Below are 21,661 nucleotides of genomic sequence, written 5' to 3'. Positions count from 1 at the left end.
AGCTACGGCTGCCTTGATTCCCCCCACCCAGGGTGAGAATTGGGCTGTGGGCTTGGGGCAGAATGGGTGAGGTGGGGTGGAACTGGAATGGGGCTGAGATTAGGTTTCCAGCTGTGGGGAAGAAAAGGCCGGCAGAGGCCAAGGATCAGACAGGGCCAGATAGATTGTGCAGGAGCCTGCAGCCACAGCCATTGTCCTGAAACTCATTCCCCTTCTCTCTGTGAACCCCAGATGGAGGAATTTAGCCATGCTGCCAGGGACAGCTACCCAAGTCACAGGCGTGGTACCAGGCAAGAAGTAAATAGCCTCTTTAATGTAAACATGGACTCTAGAGCCAGGGTTCTTATTAGAATGCCTGGTGTGCTATGAAAAAAAACAAAACCAAAGCTTGTGCTCTGGCTGCACCCCAAAGCAATAAAATCAGACTCTCCAGGGATGGGAACAAGGCAGCAGTGGCTTTAAAAGCTCTCCAGGTGGGCCGGGCACAGTGGCTCATGAGCTGGTCGCCCAGGCTGGAGTGCAATGGCATGATCTCGGCTCACCGCAACCTCCGCCTCCTGGGTTCAAGTGATTCTCCTGCCTCAGCCTCCTGAGTAGCTGGGATTACAGGTGCGCACCACCACACCAGGCTAATTTTTGTTATTATGAGCTAATTTCGGCTCATGTCTGTAATCCCAGGCGAGTGGGTCACAAGGTCAGGAGTTCAAGACCAGCCTGACCAACATTGTGACACCCCATCTCTACTAAAAATACAAAAATTACAAAAATTAGCCTGGTGTGGTGGTGTGCGCCTGTAATCCCAGCTACTCAGGAGGCTGAGGCAGGAGAATCACTTGAACCCGGGAGGCGGAGGTTGCAGTGAGCCAAGATCGTGCCATTGCACTCCAGCCTGGGCGACAGGCTCATATGAGCATTGAATGTGCTTAGGCAGGCCCTGGCTCAGAAGAGCTCTTCAGCAAGTGCAAGCTGCTGTCATTTGTGGTAGTTAAGGATTCAGTTTGCAAATGCAAACCTGAATAGTGATGGCTCGCCTGTTTGGCTGTTTTGGGATTTGTCAAATGTCACCCTTTTGCAAAGTTGAGTGATTTGTGGGGTGGGGAGGAGTCAGGTTCTATGGTGCTGATGGGAAATGCATGTTGGTATTTCTAAACAGGACAGGGTCAGAGAGAAAAGTAGGTCCCACTCAGGCTGATAATTATATCTTAAAATGAGAAACTACCTTTCCAGGAAATCATCTACTTTTCAGCATTTAATTTTTTTTTTGTAAAAGTTTTATTGAGATATAATTCACTCATTTAAAGAGTATAATTCAATGGTTTTTAGTATATTCACAGAATTACACATTTTGTTTTGTTTTCATAAATCATATTCTGAGGGCTTGTTACATTTCTACTATATTTGGTGTTCCTGGTCTAGTCCTAGAAAAATGCTGTTTATCCAGCACTGACCTGCTCCAAACTTCAACATGCCCAAAATAGATGGTTCCTCAGGATGTGAACTGTGACCATTTGAACAGGGCACTGCTCCGAGTGTTATTTTCAAGTCCCTGTTACAGAGATCATGTCAGAAGACTAAGGCACCACCAGCAGCACCGGACTGGGTAAGCAAAGCTTCCCCTTGGCAGCCAGCTCCATGGAGGAGACAGAGAGAAGGTTCTAGAATCATCCTTAGAAAGACATGGGAGGGCAGGGGCAAGAACGGCAGCCTCTCCCTAGCTCACATCTCACCAGGGTTGGCTAAGCAGTCCTCCCCTTGCCCCACGAGTGGCAGGACAGCTCCCAACACTTCTCTAGGCTTAAAGTACATGTGGAAGGGCGAGCCTCCCAGGATTCTCAAACAGAAGCAGCCTGCCAGGCTGAGCCATCCAGAAGGTGAGAGCTCCACGTGGGGACTGCTGGCTTTCAGTCAGGGGCCTCCACTCTCAACTGAGTCTCCCGTTCCCCCCGTCTGTCCATGGGACCCCTCCTCATCCTTTGTTTTTATTTAGCGTTAAAGTTCCTCTGAGCACTGTGTTGGCTCTCAACTTCTACAATTTTAGCCAGTTCTTTTTTCCTGCCATCATCGAGGTAGTTTTCAGAAGTGTGAGGGTGTGTGCACACTTACATGAACACATACACAGACCGACAAAGACTGTGCTTTGCAATCTCCAAACACAACTAGCAGGCTCCACACCATAAGTGACACTTCCCTCCTAGATAGAGGTGGTGTTGCCACAAGGAATTGTGGATAACAGGGGAGACAGCCTTGGCTGGTCAGGGTGGCGCCAAAACCTCTCTCAACCACAGAAGGTTAAACCCACTTTAAACCAGTGCTTCCTTAACTGCTGAAAAGTTAAGAAGTACCTGATTAAAAATGTAAATTCCAAGAACCCATCTCCAACACCAAAAGCAGAATTTCCCAGAGAGGCCAGGCCGTGTCTTCAAGTGCCCCCAGGTGATTCTTACCAGAGGAAAGCTTTCTCTTTTTCAAAAAACTCAGACACCCCCCACTAGAGATTCCTCTGTTTTCACAGATGGGAGGGAAGGATGGGGAAGGCATAAGACTGGGGAGGGGCCACTAGACTGATGTTTTCCAAACACTTCCCAGAAGGGGTCTGATGTGCAGGAGAGCTTCAGCTGGGCTTTGTAATAATGATTTCTGTGAAGTTTTCTTTCTTCTGAATAAGGTTTTCATCATCATACCTTTTTGAAAAAGCTCTGAGTTATCAAATGCTGTACTATGCACCGATGAGGCATTTCATGCACATGCTGGCATTCAGTCCTCTCAACACTTTTTGTTGGTTCTATTGGTGTCCCCATTTTCCAGATGAGGAAATCAAGACAGGTTAAATCGTTTGCTTCAGGCCACTTGGCTGAGAAGCAGCAAACCTATTTCCAACAAATCCCAGGCCAGCCGCTGAGTGCCACATTGCTGTGCTCAGCCTGCCCGCGAGGGCCCATGGGGACAGGGTTGTTCTGAGAGCTATGGGGCGCTATTGGTCATATCCCAAGGCCAGTTCCCCAGGAGAAAATGGGGATCCTTCCAAAAGTGTGCACAGCTGCTTTGTACTGGCATGGTGGGCTGTGTTGGAAACACCTTTAGGCCAGTAATTCTTAGCTGATGATACATCAGCATCATCTGGGATCTTATTAAAAATGCAGATATCTAGGTCCTAGCCACAGAGATTCAAACTCAGTCTGTCTGGGAGGCAGTTCGGGAATCCACTTTTGTATAATTATAGCCAGTGATTCTGAGGCAAGCAATTGGAGGGGACTGCGCCGAAGAAAAGAAAGAGGAAGTCCTGAGTGAGGAAACCGCCCCCCGCCATCAGGATAAGCACCCCTCTTTGAGGGCAGGGGAGGCTGCATCCTGTATGATATTTTGTCCTTTTCCCCATATCCGGATAGTTTTGCTTCTCCTTTAAGAGAAGCATGTGACACCTCCCATGTCACACTTGCTCTGTGCCATCCTTCTCCATGGCTTCAGGAAGCATTCACCTCAGGAATTCCATAGACCTTTAAATCCAGGCTGTCCCTGGATTTAAAGGCAAAATCCAGGCACTGGTGCGTTTTCTTTAACCTATTGGCTCAAACGGTAGTTTTCTCTGCCTAAATCTCTGTGGGTAACTTATTCACCTCGAGGTGAATAAGTTACAAGTCCTATGCTGCTGTCTGCTGAGCTGCAGCTGGACAGCCCAAAAGCTGGAGAAAGCCCAGCTGCTGAGCTGAGGCTGGGTGGCCTGAGCAGATGTCCAGAGACTGGCAGGCACTGTTCATGCTCCAGAGGTGATATGGCCATGCCCCACACCCACACAGGCCAAGGCTCCAGGCCCCTTGAGAACAGTGGCCCTGCCAGACCCTTTTCTGAGCTGCCTGAGCCAAGTCCAGTGTTAGGGACCTGGTGAGCACTAAATCACAGCATGGAGTGTGACAGCTCCAGTCATGTGGCAGCAGCTGCCAGAGGGCTCTGTGGGCAGGATCAAGGGTGGTGCCGGGTTCCCCAGAAGGGATACTGAGGGTGATTATTGGCATCCTCCTTAGGTGTAGGAGGCACTTGCCTGCCACATGTTTGCCAGCTGTGTTCATTCCCTGGGGCTGCGGCAACAAATTACCACAAACTTGGTGGTTTCCAACCACAGAAATTTATTCTGTCATGGTTCTGGAAGCCAGAAGTCCAAAATTAGCATCACTGAGCCGAAATCAAGGTGTTAGCAGGGCCACACTCCCTCCAAAGCCTCTAGGGGAGAAGATTCCTTGCCTTTTCCAGCTCCTGGGAACCCTAGGCATTCCTAGATTCGTGGCTGTATCACCCCAATCTCTGTCCCCATTTTCCCATGGCCATCTTCCCCATGTGTCACAGTTCCCTCTTCTTTCTCTTATAAAGGCAGTAGATTCAGGCTGGGTGCGGTGGCTCATGTCTGTAATCCCAGCACTTTGGGAGGCTGAGGTGGGCAGATCCCTTGAGCCCAGGAGTTTGAGACCAGCCTGGGCAACATGGTGAAACCCCAACTCTACACAAAATACAAAAATTAGCCAGGCCTGGTGGTGCACACCTGTAGTCCCAGCTGCTCGGGAGGCTAAGGCGGGAGGATCTCTTGAGCTCAGGAGGTGGAGGCTGTGGTGAGCTGAGATGGTGCCACAGCCTGGGCAACAGAGAGACCCTGGATTTAGAACCACCCTAAATCCTAGATGATTTCATCTCGAGATTCTTAACTACATCTGCAGAAGTAGCTCATATTCACAGGTACTGGGACATATTTGGTGGGGGCGGGGGGGGACACAATTCAACCCACTGTGCCAGCCTTGCACTAAATCAACATCAGTGGTTAAGTACTTCCTCTCCCCAACCCCTTCCGCATGCAAATCTTTCAACACCTAATGCCAGTACACCTCTGCTTTCACCATGGATGGGCCTGCCTTGGTGTCAGTTTTGCCTCATTGCAGGCCTCCTCTCCAGCCATGAGGACAGCAGGGGATGTGGAGGGCCAAGAGGGACAGAAATCCTCCTGCACCAAAAGGATGATAAAATGAGCACCAAACCAGCTCACCGAGCTGAGTATGCCCAGGGTTGTGCCAGAGTCAGAACCCAGTGCATGCACGGGAGCCAAGGCCATGGTCAGGTGCCCTTGCCCCACCGACTCATGTAGTCCCCTGTGAGCAGCATGTGCTACCAGCAGCTATGCCTCTCCTGCTCAAAGGGCACCCACATCACAAAAGGCAGTTGTGGTATAGACCAGGCTGCAAAGGCCTGCCCTTCAATCCCCCTCCACCATCTTCTGTGCAACCTGGCCTGCTACCACTCATTTCACTTCTCTGAACCTCACTGTAAAATCAGCCTAGTGATAATACCTACAGGCTTAAATCCTTTCTCCAGCCAAGCATCAATAAGTAAATGCATTCTTCCTCACAGCTTTATGGAGCAGGCTAAATAAGTGAGTGTGAAAGCTCCAGGCCCACAGTAGCCATTGCATCAACTTCTTATGTGGAATAAAAAGCATCTGACAACACCGCAGGTGTGTCATTCAGTATTCACTGGCTTTGGACACACTCCTTATCTTTAACCTGCACCTGCACACTGGAAACTCCAAAATCTTTATCTTCCTCCTGCATATCTGACTGCCTGGCCCACCTCCACAGTCAAGCACCTCATCCCCCACCCCTCACCTGCTCCTTCCCCTGTCAGCTGGTTCTAAAGGAGTAACACTGCCAGTCCAAACACCTCACTGTCCCATCACCTTCTCCTTCTCCTTTACCCCCAAATCAGTCACCAAGTGCTATTGATTCTTCTTCCTTAATATTCCTCCAACCTCTTTCCACCTCCTTATGTCCACCTTGTCTTCACATGTTTAAGGCCACATCATTTCTCACCTGACATATTGCAACAGCTTCCCTTCTTAGTCCAGTCCCTAACTTATGTTGACAAGACTGACATTTCTAAGATATGGATCTGATCATCTGCCAGGATGGTATAGAGCCTGTGGGCAAAAGCCCAAATTCCTCAGCAGGGCTGCAAGGCCCCTGTGACTAGCCCAGCCTATCCCTCCAGCTGAATCCCCCCTCCTCCCCCTAAACCACAGCCACACTGAGCCCCACCCTCTCTCATTTCTGCATGACTTTGCTAAGCTGTTGCCTTTGCCTAGAACATTGTTTTATCCATTCCTCATGATTAATGTTATTGACCCTTATTCAACCTCCAAGACTTAGCTCCTTCAGAAGGCCTTCCTCGCCTTCTCTCTCCAGGCTATTATAGCATCTTTTTCTGTGCTTCACACAACATTTACCAAATTATGTCATAAATGCCTATTACTTATCTGTCTGCCTCACAAGCCACATATTCGCATCCCCTGCCCCAGACTGTGAGCTCTTGGAAGTTAGGGACTGTGTCTCTTCTCTCTATATTCCCACCAAGCACCTGGCCCAGTATCTGTCAATAGCCAGTGCCTTGATAAATGTTTGTTTAGTCTTGAATGCCAAGGACAAAGCAACAGGATGTCGCAAGATATAGAGCCTGTGGTTGATTTTTATTTAAAAATACCATGTTATACCATGAACAAAATGTGAGCAACATCCTCAATAATGTTTTGTTGGAACATACCAAAGTGTTCTTCGTGTGGCCATCTCTTCCAAGAGCTTAACATGAAACTCAACATGGTGAAGGGCTTCTGCTAGGAGACTGGGCTAATGTAGTCCTTCATAGAACTTTCTGGGATCAGCATCAATACATACAAGAATCATTGCTTAAAAAAAGTAGTCAAATAGCATACCCTTAGGAAGCCAAGATTTTGATAGGATCTAGATCACTATCAGCTCAAGGTTAAATTTCCTGAGTAGGGCTCAGAGAACATACATCCTGTGTGGTTGGTTAAAGAAGAATCAAGTGTTTGGGATAGCAGGTGTACAGGTGGCATGGTTACATTCTATTTGGAAGGCTGAGCAGCCTGTTAAAGAGATGAGGCCTGCCCTATCTCCACCTGTATGTAGGTCACAACCTCCTTTACAGAAACCCTACACTTCAGTTATGCTGGATATTCACTTTCTCTAAATACATCTTGCACTTTTCCTTACCTCTGACATTTTCTGGAAGGCACCTGAATGCCCTCTCATTCTAATTTTTACTTAGCAAGGCTCTATTTATATGCCAAGGTCCAACTCATTGTGATAGAGTCATGGAGATAATAATCCCTGTTATCTGTTTCGTCCACATTAAATTTTTGGCTGGGCACTTGGCCACCTGGCTATTGACTACATTTCCCCATCTCCTTTGTAATTAGATGTGGCTAAATGACCAAGTTCTGGCCAACAGGATATGTGAGCCACTTCTGGGTCTGGGCCCTAAAGCACCTGTTGTATATTCCTCCATCCTCTCCGCCCAGCCCATAAGCTGGAACACTAATGTGGCAATGACCAAGTTTTAGCCGTAGAGATGAGGCCAACACCCTGTGGAACACCGGAGCAAAGTAACAAGATAGAGCAGAACTGAGTCCCCGAATGACCTTGTGGAGCTGAGCTATCCCAGCAGCCTCAACTGCCACCTACATCCGCACCGTCACAGGAGAGAGAAATACAATTATATTTTAAGATTGATCTTATATAAATCACTGTGTTTTTGGGGTCTCTGCACTTTAACTTAGTTATTTAGACATCATTTCCTCTGGGAAGCTTCCCTAAGAGCTCTGTCTGAAGTCCCGACGTGCGTGTTTGGTGCTAATGCTCTCACCACACTCCACATGGTATCACAGTGACCTCCGTGCATGTTAGTGTGTCCCTAGTGAACTATAAGATTCCTGAGGGCAAAGGCCACACCAGTTTCATTTTTCATATCCCCCAGAGTAATCAGCACAGTGTCCTGTGCATGGAAGTCATATTTGTTGAAGAAATAAGAGAATAAACAGTACTTGCCACTCAAATATTCTTTTCAGAGGTGAAACAAAGATAGCAGCAGCAAAGTCAATACACACCATAGTTAAACAGAAACAAGAGAGAAAGCAGCTGGCAAATAAGAGGTCCAGTGTGCTGAACTGGGGGTGCTAATTCTCCAAAAATAAATGTATTGTGGCAACAAAGCCTGAGGAGACTTAGGGGAAAACACAGATGGTTACTGCAGCCCTGGATCAGAGCCTTCCCTCCACTCAGTGACCCTGTGTCCCTCAGAAGACCCAGGTGGAGGTGGCCACGTGCTCTCAGCACCTGGACTATCACTTCTGCAGACTGGACAACCATGCTGTGGGCACTTGTCCATAGAGCCAGACCTGGAAATACAGTTTCTCAGAGGTACCCGGAGAGGGGCACCAACTGTGTTCTCCCAGGCCATCCCAGAAAAGTGGAAGAAGAGAGCATTTCACAGACCATCAGGAAAACACTCAACCATAAGGGTGTAGGGCCTGGGGCCAGACTGTCGGGTTTGAAACCCAGCTCTGCCGCTTATCAGCTGAGCAAACTTGGATGAGTGACTTCACCTCTCTAAACCTCCATTTCCTCACAGAGATGATAATATTGCCTAGTAGTGAGGTTGTTGCAGGATTGAATTTATACATTAAGGCACGCTTTGTTCCCAAAATGGGTATTTTGAGTACAAAATGGGTATTTTTTACTCAAAATACCCATTTTGGGTAACGCTTTGTGCAATAGAGCAAACAAAATACCAATTTTCCAGGTTTTAAAGAAAGAACCCGAGGCTCAAAAAGATTACATGATTCGCCAGAGGTCCCGGTCAGAGATCAGGCCCCAGGCTCTCCCTCTAAACCGTATGCTATTGGGGAGCTCTGCAGCCTTTACCTGGGTGCTCTCATCCTGGGTCCTGGCCTCAGGAGGGAGCAGCCCCAGGAGGCTGAGAGCCGAGGGTGCTGTAATGCCCCTCTCCTGTTTCAGTGGTTTCTCAGGAATTGAGGGTGAGGAGCCCGATCTCTGCGGGCACCACCTACCTATCGCCCATCCCCAGCAGGCCCCAAGGAGCTGAAACTTCTGTCAGCCTGGGTCTGGGCCAACAGGATGGGACAGGGGGGCACCAGGAAGATGCCTGTATATTTGCTGATAAAAACGGATGAAAATATGTGAGGGGACTTGAAAGGCACGGATGACATTGTGAGCACGTGTTAAAAGAAGGGATGCATGAGGAAGTGTAAAGGAGAACATGGAAAAAGTGCTTGGGCAGGGCCGGAGCACAGGTGCTTCCTGAGGTGTCCTGGCCCTTCAGCTGAGGTAATAGGAATAAAGCCAGGCTCTGTATGAGAGACAGCAAGAGAGAGAGAGAGAGAAAAGCAGAGACACAGATGTGAGTGGTAGACAGAAATAGAGACCCGATGTCAAGGAGACACACAGTGAGAAAAGGAAAGATGGAGGGAGAAGAGAGAAAGAAGGGAAGGGGAAGAGAGGGGCAAGAAGAAAGAGAGAAACAGAGGAGAGAAGAGAGACAGAGAGCCACCTGGCACCCCCAAAGCTGTGGCTGCCTTCACCATGTCTGACTTTCAAAGTGCCATCCCCTTTGCCCCCACAAACAAACAAAAAGAGAACAGCGGCTTCTCTTCCTGAGGAATGTGGTGGAATGTTCTGATCGCTGGGTGCTGACTGGTATCCTCAACCTTGGGTCCTGGCTAAGGACGCCACTCCCCACTTTCCTTTCTCTTCCTGACAAGACCCCCTCCCTCTTCCCTGAGCTCTGTTTCTTCCATGAGGTTGAAGAAAAATGCCGTCGTGGTCCCCTGCCTGCTTACTCAGCGTGTCAAGCAGGAGTTCTCAGCTCCAGTGTGCCATGGAGGGCCTTGGGAAGAGGTCACATACCATTCCCATCCCCAGGTGAGAATCACATAAAAACCAAGGTCCAAGGTCCAAGGTCCAGGCCACACCGCATGCCCACCAAGGGTGGAGAGGCCTGGAAGCTCCTCTGACCCTCAGGGACTCCACCATCTTCCAGGGCCCAGCAGTGACTGCAATCATGGCTCCTCTCTAGCCTGAAAGAGTGCTGTCCCTGGAAAGGGCTGGCAGCTCTCTGGCCTGCTATTTCCAGTCCCCCCGCCCCCCCCCCTCCCCCACACACACACACCCTCGGCTGCAGGTCTCTGAGGCCCCTGGAGCTTGGCAGCTTCACACTTCAGCCCATGAACTTTCTTCCAGGTCAGGCTAGACTCCAGGCCAGGTTCCTCCACTGCCCTTGTGTTGACTACAGGAGAAACTTGAGCCAACACCTGACCTTGGGCTAGCTCCCTCCTCACATCTGCTTTGGAGATTCCAGTCTCCTCCTGCCCAGGCCTGTCTCTTAGCAGGGCCAGCAGGATGGGCTGGGGAATTCCTGCACCCCAACAGCTGCGTCCCCAGCTCAGTACCTGGACAACATGAATCCACCCCCATCGTCAATAAGCGTCTTTCAGAGCTGCCAGCTCCCTCTGGGGAAAGCCCTTTCCACTCGTTCTTTGAGGCCCAAAGCTGATTCTGGTCTAATTATAACTGTATTCCCAGCAGGTGTGACACAAAGCAGGTGCATAATAAAGATTCCTGGATGGATGACTCAATTTCTGACTCCTGGAATTCTATAGGCCATTTTTTTTTTTTTGAGACGGAGTCCCGCTCTTTAGCCCAGGCCGGATTGCAGTGGCACAATCTTGGCTCACTGCAAGCTCCGCCTCCCAGGTTCACGCCATTCTCCTGCCTCAGCCTCCCGAGTAGCTGGGACTACAGGCGCCCGCCACCGCGCCCGGCTAATTTTTTGTATTTTTAGTAGAGACGGGGTTTCACCGTGTTAGCCAAGATGGTCTCGATCTCCTGACCTTGTGATCCGCCCGCCTCGGCCTCCCAAAGTGCTGGGATTACAGGCGTGAGCCACCGCGCCCAGCCTATAGGCCATTTTGTAAAGTCCTCTTTTGTCCAACTCCCGTGCAGCTCAGCCTCTTCCTACCATTTCTGCCACAGGCACAGGAGCACTGAGGACCCTTCTTGACCTCCTGGATCAGAAAGGCAGAGGAAATGCTGGGCAGAAGTCAAGGTGTCAGTGGGCTGCCCTCCCTCCGGAGGCTCCAGGGGAGAATCTATTCCTCGCCTCTTCCAATTGCTGGTGGCTGATGGCACACCTTGGCTTGTGGCCACAATACTCCAATTTCTGCCTCCATGGTCACACTGACTTCATTTCTTCTGTGTGCATCAAATTTCTCTCTGCTCTGTGATTGCATTTAGGGCCCCTGGATCAGCAATGTCATAAAAGACCCCAGTTCTTCCCCTGTCTCCTCTCTGCCGTCTTTGGGGTGTTGATTTGACCCTTAAACTAATTTTCCTTATGGCCACAAGATAGCTGCCACTGTGTCAAATATTACATGCAGTCTCAATGAAGGCTAGAGATAAAATAGAATCATCTCATCCTCGCCTCTGTCTTAAGAATAAGGAAACCTTTCGCAGAAGCCCTCTAGAAGAATGCCCCCTTTCGTGCTTCCTTGGTCCTAATGGGTCACATGTCTATTCCTAAGCCAGTCCCTGGCAAGAAGAATGGAACGACCACCTTTGGCTTCCATTATGAGGATTCGCTCTCTGGGGTGGGAACATCCATACACTTATGTCAAGGAGAACAGATACCTGTTGGGAAGGAGGAAAGAGGGACAAGCGTTGGGCAGGCAACCCAAGGACCCTGCAGCAGTCTCCGTGACAACTTCTCTTCCTGGTGCCTCTGCGACTCTGATCATTTTTTCTTGGTGTCCTCTTTCTCTGAAGGTACCCTGAATTTTTATTTCCTTGAGTGTTTTATGCCCAGACTTTTTCTGGTCTTACTCCATACCCTCTCCCTGGCAGTCTCATTCACCCCTATCACTTTAATTTCCATGTATAATCCTGAATGACAGCAATGGGGATACATTCTGAGAGATGAGTTGTTAGGTGATTTCATTGCTGTATGAACATCATAGAGTGAATTTACACAGACCTAGATGTTCTAGCCAACTACACACTAGGCTGTGTGATGTAGTCTATTGTTCCTAGGCTACAAACCTGTACAACACGTTACTGCACTGAATACCGTAGGCAACTTTAACACAGTGGTAAGTTTTTGTGTATCTAAATGGAGATAAACATAGAAATGGTACCGTAAAAATATGGTAGAATCATCCTATGGGACCATATGCAATCTGTCGTTCAGTAAAATGTTGTTATGTGGCACATGACTGTATATGTCCAGAAGTCCAAATCTATATCTCCTGCTCTTACCTCTCTCTTGAGCTTTGGTGCCAAATGTAAAACTATCTGCTTCTGACATGAAGCCCCAAGAGATCCTCAAACTCAATGTGTCTAAAACAGAACCGCCTTTCCCTTCCCAACTTTCTCAAAGTTGTTCTTCCTCTCTCTTGTGTCTGTAGTTTGTGTTAGTGGAATCACCTTCCACTCTTGACTACTCCTTCTACCACATCAAACTAGTCATCAAGCCCTGGGACTCAAGGCTGAAATCTCGAACTCACCCATCCTCCCTATCCTTATACAGTGCATGGGTTGGAGCCTCATCATGTCTCTCCTGCTGCATCACAGCAGCCTCTCACCGGCCACTTTACACAGCCACCAGAACAATATTTCCAAACCACAGGTCACATTATGCCCCTCCTTACCCACATCCCCCAGCTTCTGAAGACATCCACTGGACCTTCCATGAGCAGGTCATGCCTTGGCCACACCTTCGCCTCACCCCTTGTCCCCTCACTCTGCATTCCAACAACAGTGAGCTTCCATAAGACGCCACCTCTCTGAGTCTTTGTGCATGCTGTTTCCACTGCCTGGTATGCCCTGCAAACTTCTATTCTTCCTTCAACACCTGGCTTAGTCATCACCTCCTCCAGAAAATCCTCCCAGATTCCCCCACTTCTAGAGTGAACCAGTGACTCCTCTGTGCAACAGCTTTCTTCATTCATTCAATAAACATTTCCCGAGTACTTACCATGTGCCCGGCACTGGGTTACAACAAGGAACAAGACTGACACGGTTCCTGCCCTGCAGGAGGGAGAGGAAAAGGAAACACAGGTTTCTAAGATTGTCGAACAACAGCAATTGGCATAATGAAGGGAAGGGCCTCGGGGAAGACTTTCAGGAGCACCTGAAGTATAACTAGGAGTTTATCAGAGGAAGGGGAGAAAGGGGTTCAGGCAGAGGGAACAGCATGTGGCAAGGCCTTGAAGTGGGAAGGAACGTGGTACATCTGGGAAATGTCAAGATGACAAGTCTGAACCTTGTACACACCTAACTTGTTGGGCTCCTCGTACCGGGTTCACCTGCCCATCTGCCCTACGAGGAGGAACCCCTAGAGAGTGGGCTTCACATCTGACTCACCTCTGCCTCTTACCAGCCACAGGACAGTGCCCAGGGAGAGCTCAGGACATTTCTGATGAAGTGAAAATGGACCTAACAAAAGTATCACTTGTTGTTATGCTCAGGGTTGGGGTCCAGTCCCAGCTGAGGTCCGAAAAGAGGGGATGGATGAGCAGATAGCTGAAAGAACACTCGGGGTGCTGTAGGCAGGTGAAATGTAATTTTATTCAGCAGCTCTCTCATCAGCAGCTTACACTAGCTCGTTTACACTGTTCACCTTTATTTTGGCTGCCTGCTCCAGCTCGGCGGCTCCTCTCAGCAGCCAGCTCCCACACACACCTGCGTGGCCAGCTCTCCCTTGCCTTCAGGGTCAGCAGCTGAACTCTTTCTCTCTCTGGGCATGAGTAGGCTGAGCTGTGTCCTGGCTCCCCCTGTCCATCTGCAAAGACCGACAGCTCTGGCTCTCTCTCTCTTTCTCTGGGTGCAAGTGCACCTGTACAGAGTCAGCAGGGCAATTATAGCTTTTACAGACAATAGTGGCATCGGGCCACATGGCTACATGGCTGTGATAACAAGTGGAGTTATATGCCTGCACTCTAAACTCACTGAGTCATGCAGGCCTGGATATCCACCTCGGCCTGTTCTTGACCAAAGCACATCCATATACCTTACACTTGTAAACTGGGAGGCTCTCTGTCCAGGCAAGCTTATCCTCAGGGAAGGGGTTGGGATGGAACTCCCTTTCCCCACCTCGTGTTCATGCCCAGACTCCCCAGCAGGCATCTGGCCTCATGGGCAGCAGGAGTGACACTGCCACCACTGACCCCTCAAGGACAGTGCTATGTTGGTGGCCCTCCCCACCGCCCCAAATTCATATGTTGAATCCCTAATCCCCACTGCAAAGGTATTAGGAGGTGTGGCCTTTGGGAGGTGATTAGGTCATGAGGGTGGAGACTTCACAAATGGGATTAGTGCCCTTATAAGAAAAGACATAAGAGAGGTGACCTCTCTGTCCCCATGTGAATAGACAGTGAGCAGTCGGCTGTCTGCAAGCTGAGAAGACAGCCTTCCCCAGAACTCAACCATGCTGGCACCCTGATCTTGGAATCCCATGCTCCAGAATTGTGAGAAGTGAACGTCTATTGTTTAAGCCACCCAGTCTATGGTATGGTGTTATAGCGTGAATTAGACAGACAGCCACCTGCTGATACATCCCTTCAGGCTCCTCTGCCCAGCAAAAGGACATGCAGATCCACCCCATGAGAGAGCTGCAGATGGGAGGATGCTGGATCTTTCTGGACCCCCCTACCCCACTCCACCCCTGCACCCCTTCCTCAGCCCCACCACCTGGCCCCTGCCCACTCGAGTGTGCCAAAGACGGCCTGTCCTCTCCTCTCTGAAAATGCGAGGTCCAGGCTGCTCTTTCACATATTTGACACAGAGCCATGTGCCACCAAACCAGCTCATCCCGGCACTTTAAAGGAGGGCCACAGATACAGGCAGAATAAAGCCTGGGCTTCAGGATCCAGGCTGGGTTTTTGGTTGAGCCAATCCCAGCACCACAGAGGCCCGGAGTGCCACCACTGGAAAGAGGCTTGTTGATCACCCCGTTTTCCCCCACTTCAGACCAGCAGATGGAGGAGGCCCAGAGATGCCTTCTGATCTGTGAAAACTCAGCGATCCAAAGCAGAAGTTCACCCAAGGCCACCTGAATCGTCACGCAGGACTCTGCCCAATATTCCACAATAGCTCTTGGTGCCCACAGGTGATGAATCAGATAAAAGGGAGGCAAAATAGACAAAGATTCTGCCCAGGGCCCCTAGGAGGCAGAGGTGAGACTACCAGGGAGGGCAGCCCATCCAGGCTGGAGACAGTTAAGCCCTGCAGGAAGGAAAATGCAGACTCTGTACCTACCCAACCCCCACACCAGCTGGGTATTAACAGGACTTGAGCCGAGAGGTCCTGGAATTATACTCTGCTGTACTCCCGCCTGTACCTGGGCACTCTTTACCTGGGTGGTCTAGGATACCCGATCAAAGCAATGATGACATCAGGGCAACTTACGAGAATATCTGAAGGATATCCCCTCTTATCCACTTTTTGAGGTTCCAGTTACCTGTGGTCAGCTGTAGTTTGAAAATATTAAATGGAACATTCCAGAAAGAAATAACTTATAAGTTTTAAATTTTGCACCATTCTGAGTACTGTGATGAAATCTCGTGCTGTCCCACTGCGTCTTGCCCAGGATGTGAATGGTCCCTTTGCCCAGCATCTCCACACCATAGATTCTACCTGCCTGTGAGGCACTTAGTAGCCAGCATCACTGTCAAATCAAAAAAACATAGTAGGCCGGGTGCAGTGGCTCACGCCCGTAATCCCAATACTTTGGAAGGCCAAGGTGGGAGGATCTCGAGACCAGCCTGGGCAACACAGTGAGGCCCTATCTCTATTAAAAAAAAGAAAAGAAAAGAAAAAACATGGTACAGTATATATAGGGTTCAGTACTCTTGGAAGTTTCAGGCATCTGCTAGGGGTCTTGGAACCTATCCTGCATGGATAAGAGGGGCCTACAGTATACAGGTCCCTAGAACAATAAGCCAAAAAGGTATTTGGAACCACTGCGGGCAGGGGAGTTCCATTAAGAGGGTGATGTGGAGTGGGCGTGTGTATAGACAAGCCTACTATATGCAGACACCCAGCCCCTTTCCATTTTCTTTGATCTTTCTTTTTCACGATCTGCTTGGAGACAGAAGACAGGTGCAGCAGCTTCAGGTCCCGGGGAATTTAAAAAGCAAAATTTACCACGTTTTGTAGGCTGCCAGCCTGAGGCTCCTTCTTACCTGACCTTTCCTTATGTGGCATCTGACCTTTTAAAATGATCTTCCCTTATCTCCCAGCAAGTTGTTCTGCTTCTTCCACTAACCCCTGCCCTCCCCATGGGAGAGTGACTAATCAGCACTGTTCAGGAGGAGATGGGGTGCCCATCAGAATGCCCAGGGGGCCCTCGAACCCGGGCCCTAGTGAGGATGGGCTCCCTGCTCCTCCATGTGCCACTACAACATGAGAGTCAAGTCTGGGATCTGCTTTGGCGACGCGAGTGGAGGTCTGCTGAGGAATGGGCTCTAAGGGCAAAAGGAAGTGGTTCTTAGACTTTCCATAGTAATGGAGGCTCCCACCCATGGGCATGACAGCTTTCCCTATGAACTGGAGTCCTCGTCGACACCTCTCCCTGAATTAGAAGTGTTTAGGACCACGTGTCTTCTCCCCAACCAGGCTCCTCAGTGAGGGAGTGACCAGCTCCCTTCAGGTTTCCATCCCCTTCGTGAGTGTGGCAGATAGCCACCTCCTGATCCCCACTCCCTGTGGCTGCCACCGATACAGAAAAGAGGGAGGGGCACTTTGCTACCGGATCCAGGATTCTGAAATGAGGAGATGATCCTGGATTATCCAGGTGGCCCTAATAAGGCGGAGGCACACACAGGAGAGGAGAAGGTGATGTGACCACGGGGGCAGAGACTGCGACCACAGCCAAGAAACGCTGCAGCCGTCAGAGGCTGGAAGACATGGATTCTCCCCTAGAGCCTCCAGAGGGAGCGCAGCCTGCCAGCACCTTGATTTCAGCCAGTGACACTGATTGTGGACTTCCAGCCTTCGGAACTGTAAGAGAAGAAATGCCTGCTGTTATAAGCCACCAGGTTTACAGTAATATGTTACAGGAGCCACAGGAAACTAAGTCAGTGAGTAGCCTCATAAGATTCTTTTCTATTTATTCATTCAACAAACATTTAGCAAGTGCTGTACATGCCAGGCACTGTCATAGGCGGCAAGATGCAGCTGTGAACAGGACAGGGCAGGCCCTGCTCCATGGAGCTGCAGCCCAGTCAGATAACTGCCTGAAAGAGTGGTGCTTCCAATAATTATGGACGAGCATCACAGGTAAGCAGGAAGCAAAAATGGCAGCTAAAAAAACCACACAGACCTCCATAAAATAGTGCCAATTCCTGTACAAATTATATACAAATGCACTTGTGAAGACAGATGTCACCTTCAGAGAAAACACAAGGCTATCTAGATCCCAGCTGCACCCCAGAAAGCCTGAGGGAACAGTACAGGTCAGAGGGAGTGGGCAGAGTCCCAGACACACTGCCTTTCTTCCCCTTCAGGGGGTTCAGCCTCCTGCAGAGGAACCAGGTACAGCCATTGCCATTGCAGCTGCAGCCCCACAGAAATGGCCTAACCCCCCAGGGAAGGCCCCTAAAGGAAAGCGCCCTGAAAGAGTGGCTTTCCAATGTTTACACAGAGATTGCATGGAATTTACACCAAACTTCAGGGTGAGGTCATGACCCTGGGTGAAGGCTTGCTTCAGATGAATCAAAACATGTTGGACCTCAGAGACTCCAGCAAACAGCCTGCTTTCCCACAAGTAAGTTGGTCACATCAGGTGGGCAGTGACCTCATGTAATCGCCCAGTGTGGTGTACTCCACAACAGGTCATCTCCAAAGCTGCTTAAGCTCCCTGCACAACCCTGGCATTACCAGATACCTGATTCTGCAAAATATCTGCTGATCTTCTTGACCACAGGACTCGCTCTGTCTGAACAACCTGGGAGGAGGAGTCAGGGTGTGGCAGGGTGAGGGAAGTAGCCAGGACCCTCCACATGCTGCCCCTGCTCCCTCATCCCATGACCCTGGTGAGCCCCAACCTCCAGGCCAGGCTTAACAACACCCCTTCTTTCCACCTCTTTTGAGGATTAAATGAGACAACAGATGGAAATACACTGAAAAGTGTTAGGTGCTAAACCCAGGCCAAGTGATATTTTTAACCTGGAACTACTCAGTTGCCTCTGAAAGCAATGAACTCTATGCTGTCTTTGCAGGTACAAAAAGAAATCTTCCACTAAATTGTGTTTCAGTGGCTACAACTATGTGTTAGCTAATTCTTCCACCCTCTCACCTACCTCCAGCTGCTCCAAGTGTGCAGCTCTGTGGCAGTTTCAAGAGTAGGGTACTGTGTAGTAAAGAATTGGCCTTATCCAGAGATGTCCAGAGGTTCCTGGGAGGTACCTCTAAGCCCTGGGGATGTCCTGCCTGATAAGAGTGTCTTTGTTTGCCTGGGCAGTCTTGAACCACATTGAATAGCCTAACAGCGTGATTTATGTTGGGGGCTTTGAGCCACATAGTATCAGCTCGACCTCCAGAAGGGCTGGAGATTAAAGGTCAGTCACACAAGTAGTCCACCATGTCTACCTGTCTGAGACCCAGTAAAAACTCTGTACACAAAGGCTCGGGTGAGGCTCCTTGGGTGGCAGTACTCCACATGTACTGTCACATATCCTGGCCAGGAAAAGTTGGTGCTGCCCATGAGTCTACTGGGAGAGGACAACTAGAAGCTTCCCTTTCGGGACTTTCTGCTCCATGCATTTCTTCCTTTGGCCCATTCCTTCCACTGAAACTATAAGTGTAACAGCTTTCAGTTGGTAAGTCCTCCTGCTGATTTATCAGATCTGAGGGTGGCCAGACCTGATCCCCTCCCACTCCCACCACCCCTCAACAGATAATTGGCATCAGAAGTGAGGTGATCCTGGGGACAGCCTTGCACTCTGTAACTTCTTAACTCTTTTTGTGCCGCGGATGCCTTTGGCAGTCTGGTGAAGCTGTGGACTTTTCTGAAGATGATTATTAAATGCACAAAATAAAATATATAGTATTCAAAAAAACCAGTTATATTGAAATGTAAGTATCAAAATATGTGCTTCTTTATTAAGATATTAAATAATGAGTTATAGTAGAGATTTACTATCTACCATAATTTTGAAGTAGCAACAAACACCCAATATTTCAAGATATCTGCAACAACTATAAAGAGATGCAGATTTAAACCAGGCATGGTGGCTCACACCTGTAATACCGGCACTTTGGGAGGCCAAGGCAGGGAAATCACTTGAGGTCAGGAGTTCGAGACCAGCCTGGCCAACATGGTAGAACCCAGTCTCTACTAAAAACACAAAAATTAGTAGGGCATGGTCATGGGCACCTGTAAATCCAAATACTCAGGAGGCTGAGGCAGGAGAATCGCTTGAACCCAGGAGGCAGAAGTTACAGTAAGCCAAGATGGTGCCACTGCACCACTCCAGCCTGGGTGACAGAGTGAAACTCTGTCTCAAAAAAAAAAAAAGAAAAAAAGATGTAGATGTATATTAGTGTCAACATCACAGGTGATGTATTTTGTTTCCTACATTCACAATTGAAATTAATTCTAAATTTCAGTTAGAGGTTATTGGAAATAAAGGTCTAATTTTTTTTCTCATCCAAGGTCACAAACCCCATAAATTCTATCCCCAGATCACCAACAGGTCCATGGGCACCAGATTAAGAAGCCTAGTCTAGGACTTGGGTGATTATCTCACCCTTCCTAGCAGCTTAAGTAGAGCTGTCACTGTCAATGTTGTTTTTAATGATAATAATCGTAGCTAATCCTCATTGAGCATTTGCTCTATGCCCAGCACAATGAATGTGAAAGTGCCATACACATATGAACCATTATTTTTATGTCATATCACTTAACGAGCTTTCTGATTGAGTTAGGAAAACAAGAGCTGTCGCTTTTGGCATGCTTAATATGGGCGAGGCACATACCAAGCACTTACAATGCATTCTTTCATTAGGCCTCACGGCAACCTGATGAGGTGGAACTGTTATTCCTCCCATTTTATAGACAAGGAAAGTGAGGCTTTGAGAGTTTAAACAACTTACCCAAATGATAAGGATAGTAATTGGTAAAGCCAGATATTCAAATCAGGTGTCAGACTCAAGACAGAGCACAGCTCACAAAAGTTAGCAGAATGGCACTCAGCAAACCCGGATGGCCATGGCGGTGCCACTGGATGACCTGACCACAGTGGTCCTGTGTCCAGACAGAAAAGACTGACCAATGAATGGAAATAGAGATAACTCAGCACAAGGTCCTGAACTGCATGGATTAATAAGTCAATGATTACTGAGGCTGTGGGGAAGTTTCTGTGCTAATCATTAGTGTTCCGATTCCAGAACCATGGGCGTCATGAAGATTAACCTGCTCAGCGAAGAGTTTCCTGATTTCTCTAAGGGTGCCCTTGATTGGCACACAAAGGATCCTGTGGGTGCTTCACGGCCTAGCAGCATCCTCAGTATCAGGCCATGTGGTCTTTGCTTTCTCCAGAATCATCATCATCATCATCATCATCATCATCATCATCTGAGAAGGTTCTTACAGAGCAGCTCTTGGCATCCAAGCCCATCCACGGACCAGGATGCCCTACAGAGGCAAAGGCAGATGGGGAGGGGAGGGCTGAGACAGACACAGGGAAAAACAAACCTTACAACAAGACAAGTTATAATACAGGAATGGAAATGATGTGGCACCAATGCCACCACTCCCCACTACCATATCCAGTAGCAGAGATGCTACTCATAGTACTACTCATAGGACACTATATAATTTCCCCTTAAATGAGGTTGATGCAGCCTCAGAATCCTTCTCAACACAGCTCTCCAGGTAGCTACAACCAATTGGTTGAACTTGACATACAGGTTGCAACCTATTTTTCATCAGATCCATGATACCAGAAGGAAAGGAGAAAAGTTATACTCTTGAAACAATGACATAAAACAAGAGTAGCTAAAACTTATTGAGCATTTATTCATGCCAATTCCTGTTCTAAGCACTTTACATGTATTACTCACATTTTCTTCTCACTACAACAATCTTACGATGTGAATACTATTATTAGCCCCATTTTCCATAAGAGAAACCTGAGGCACGAATCGGTTGTTCCATATGACTTGTTCCATGTCACCCAGTGAGAAGGGAGTAAAGTTAGGTTTCGAATCCAGGTGGTCTGGCTCTAAAACTTGCATATTTAATTAGCCACTATGCTGTACTCATCCTGTCCAGTGCTGGGGGTATTTTTAGCTATTGACCATAGCAAAAGACAAAGATGAAATGGCTTTATAGTTTTGCATGTTGATATAAGCAAAAGTGACATAACATTCTCAAAGACTGTTCTCTAAAGTTTTCAGAGAGATGCCTTTGTCAATCAATGCACTTTGCTCTGGTCCTGCTTCTCAATGCGGCCGGTCTCTTCACTTTTTACTTCCCCAATGCAGCTCATCTGTAGGCCCAGTGCTGGCCATACCAGAGCCCAGCACGCAGCATCTACATTGAAGACTCCTGGCTGAGGCAGGGCCTCCCCGCTCTCCCTCCTCACCTTGTCAGGTCCTCCAGTGCCTGTGTATTTTTCTGACCCAACTGCTTGCCTAATTACAGATCCCTGGCACAGTCTAAACTGGCCCGGCTAGACCTGGAAGTCCCCGGAATCCAGGCATTCTGTTAACATCAGGTGTAGAGGAGAACAGATGCAGAGAAAGCCAGCTCCACC

The 21,661-nt window shown here is 48.8% G+C and overlaps 1 long non-coding RNA gene across 1 annotated transcript, besides 2 other annotated features; it reads left to right on the top strand.

The window, feature by feature from the left end:
• Positions 1 to 1,814: 1,814 nt before the first annotated feature.
• Positions 1,815 to 11,182, top strand: LINC01298 (long intergenic non-protein coding RNA 1298). Its single transcript, NR_046232.1, has 3 exons — positions 1,815 to 1,871; positions 9,611 to 9,770; positions 10,881 to 11,182. It is a non-coding gene; the product is annotated as a long intergenic non-protein coding RNA 1298 (long non-coding RNA).
• Positions 4,975 to 5,024: an enhancer, noted in NCBI's record as "active region_27652". NCBI's record gives its function as "activates an Ori minimal core promoter by ATAC-STARR-seq in GM12878 lymphoblastoid cells {active_cell/tissue: GM12878}" and the evidence as "EXISTENCE:reporter gene assay evidence [ECO:0000049][PMID:35858748]".
• Positions 5,265 to 5,324: an enhancer, noted in NCBI's record as "active region_27651". NCBI's record gives its function as "activates an Ori minimal core promoter by ATAC-STARR-seq in GM12878 lymphoblastoid cells {active_cell/tissue: GM12878}" and the evidence as "EXISTENCE:reporter gene assay evidence [ECO:0000049][PMID:35858748]".
• Positions 11,183 to 21,661: the final 10,479 nt, after the last annotated feature.

This window comes from Homo sapiens, chromosome 8 (assembly GCF_000001405.40).
Source record: "Homo sapiens chromosome 8, GRCh38.p14 Primary Assembly".
Classification (NCBI taxonomy): Eukaryota; Metazoa; Chordata; class Mammalia; order Primates; family Hominidae; genus Homo; species Homo sapiens.
The sequence above is the reverse complement of the archived record's forward strand: the minus strand, read 5'-3'. Positions and strand labels throughout refer to the sequence as shown.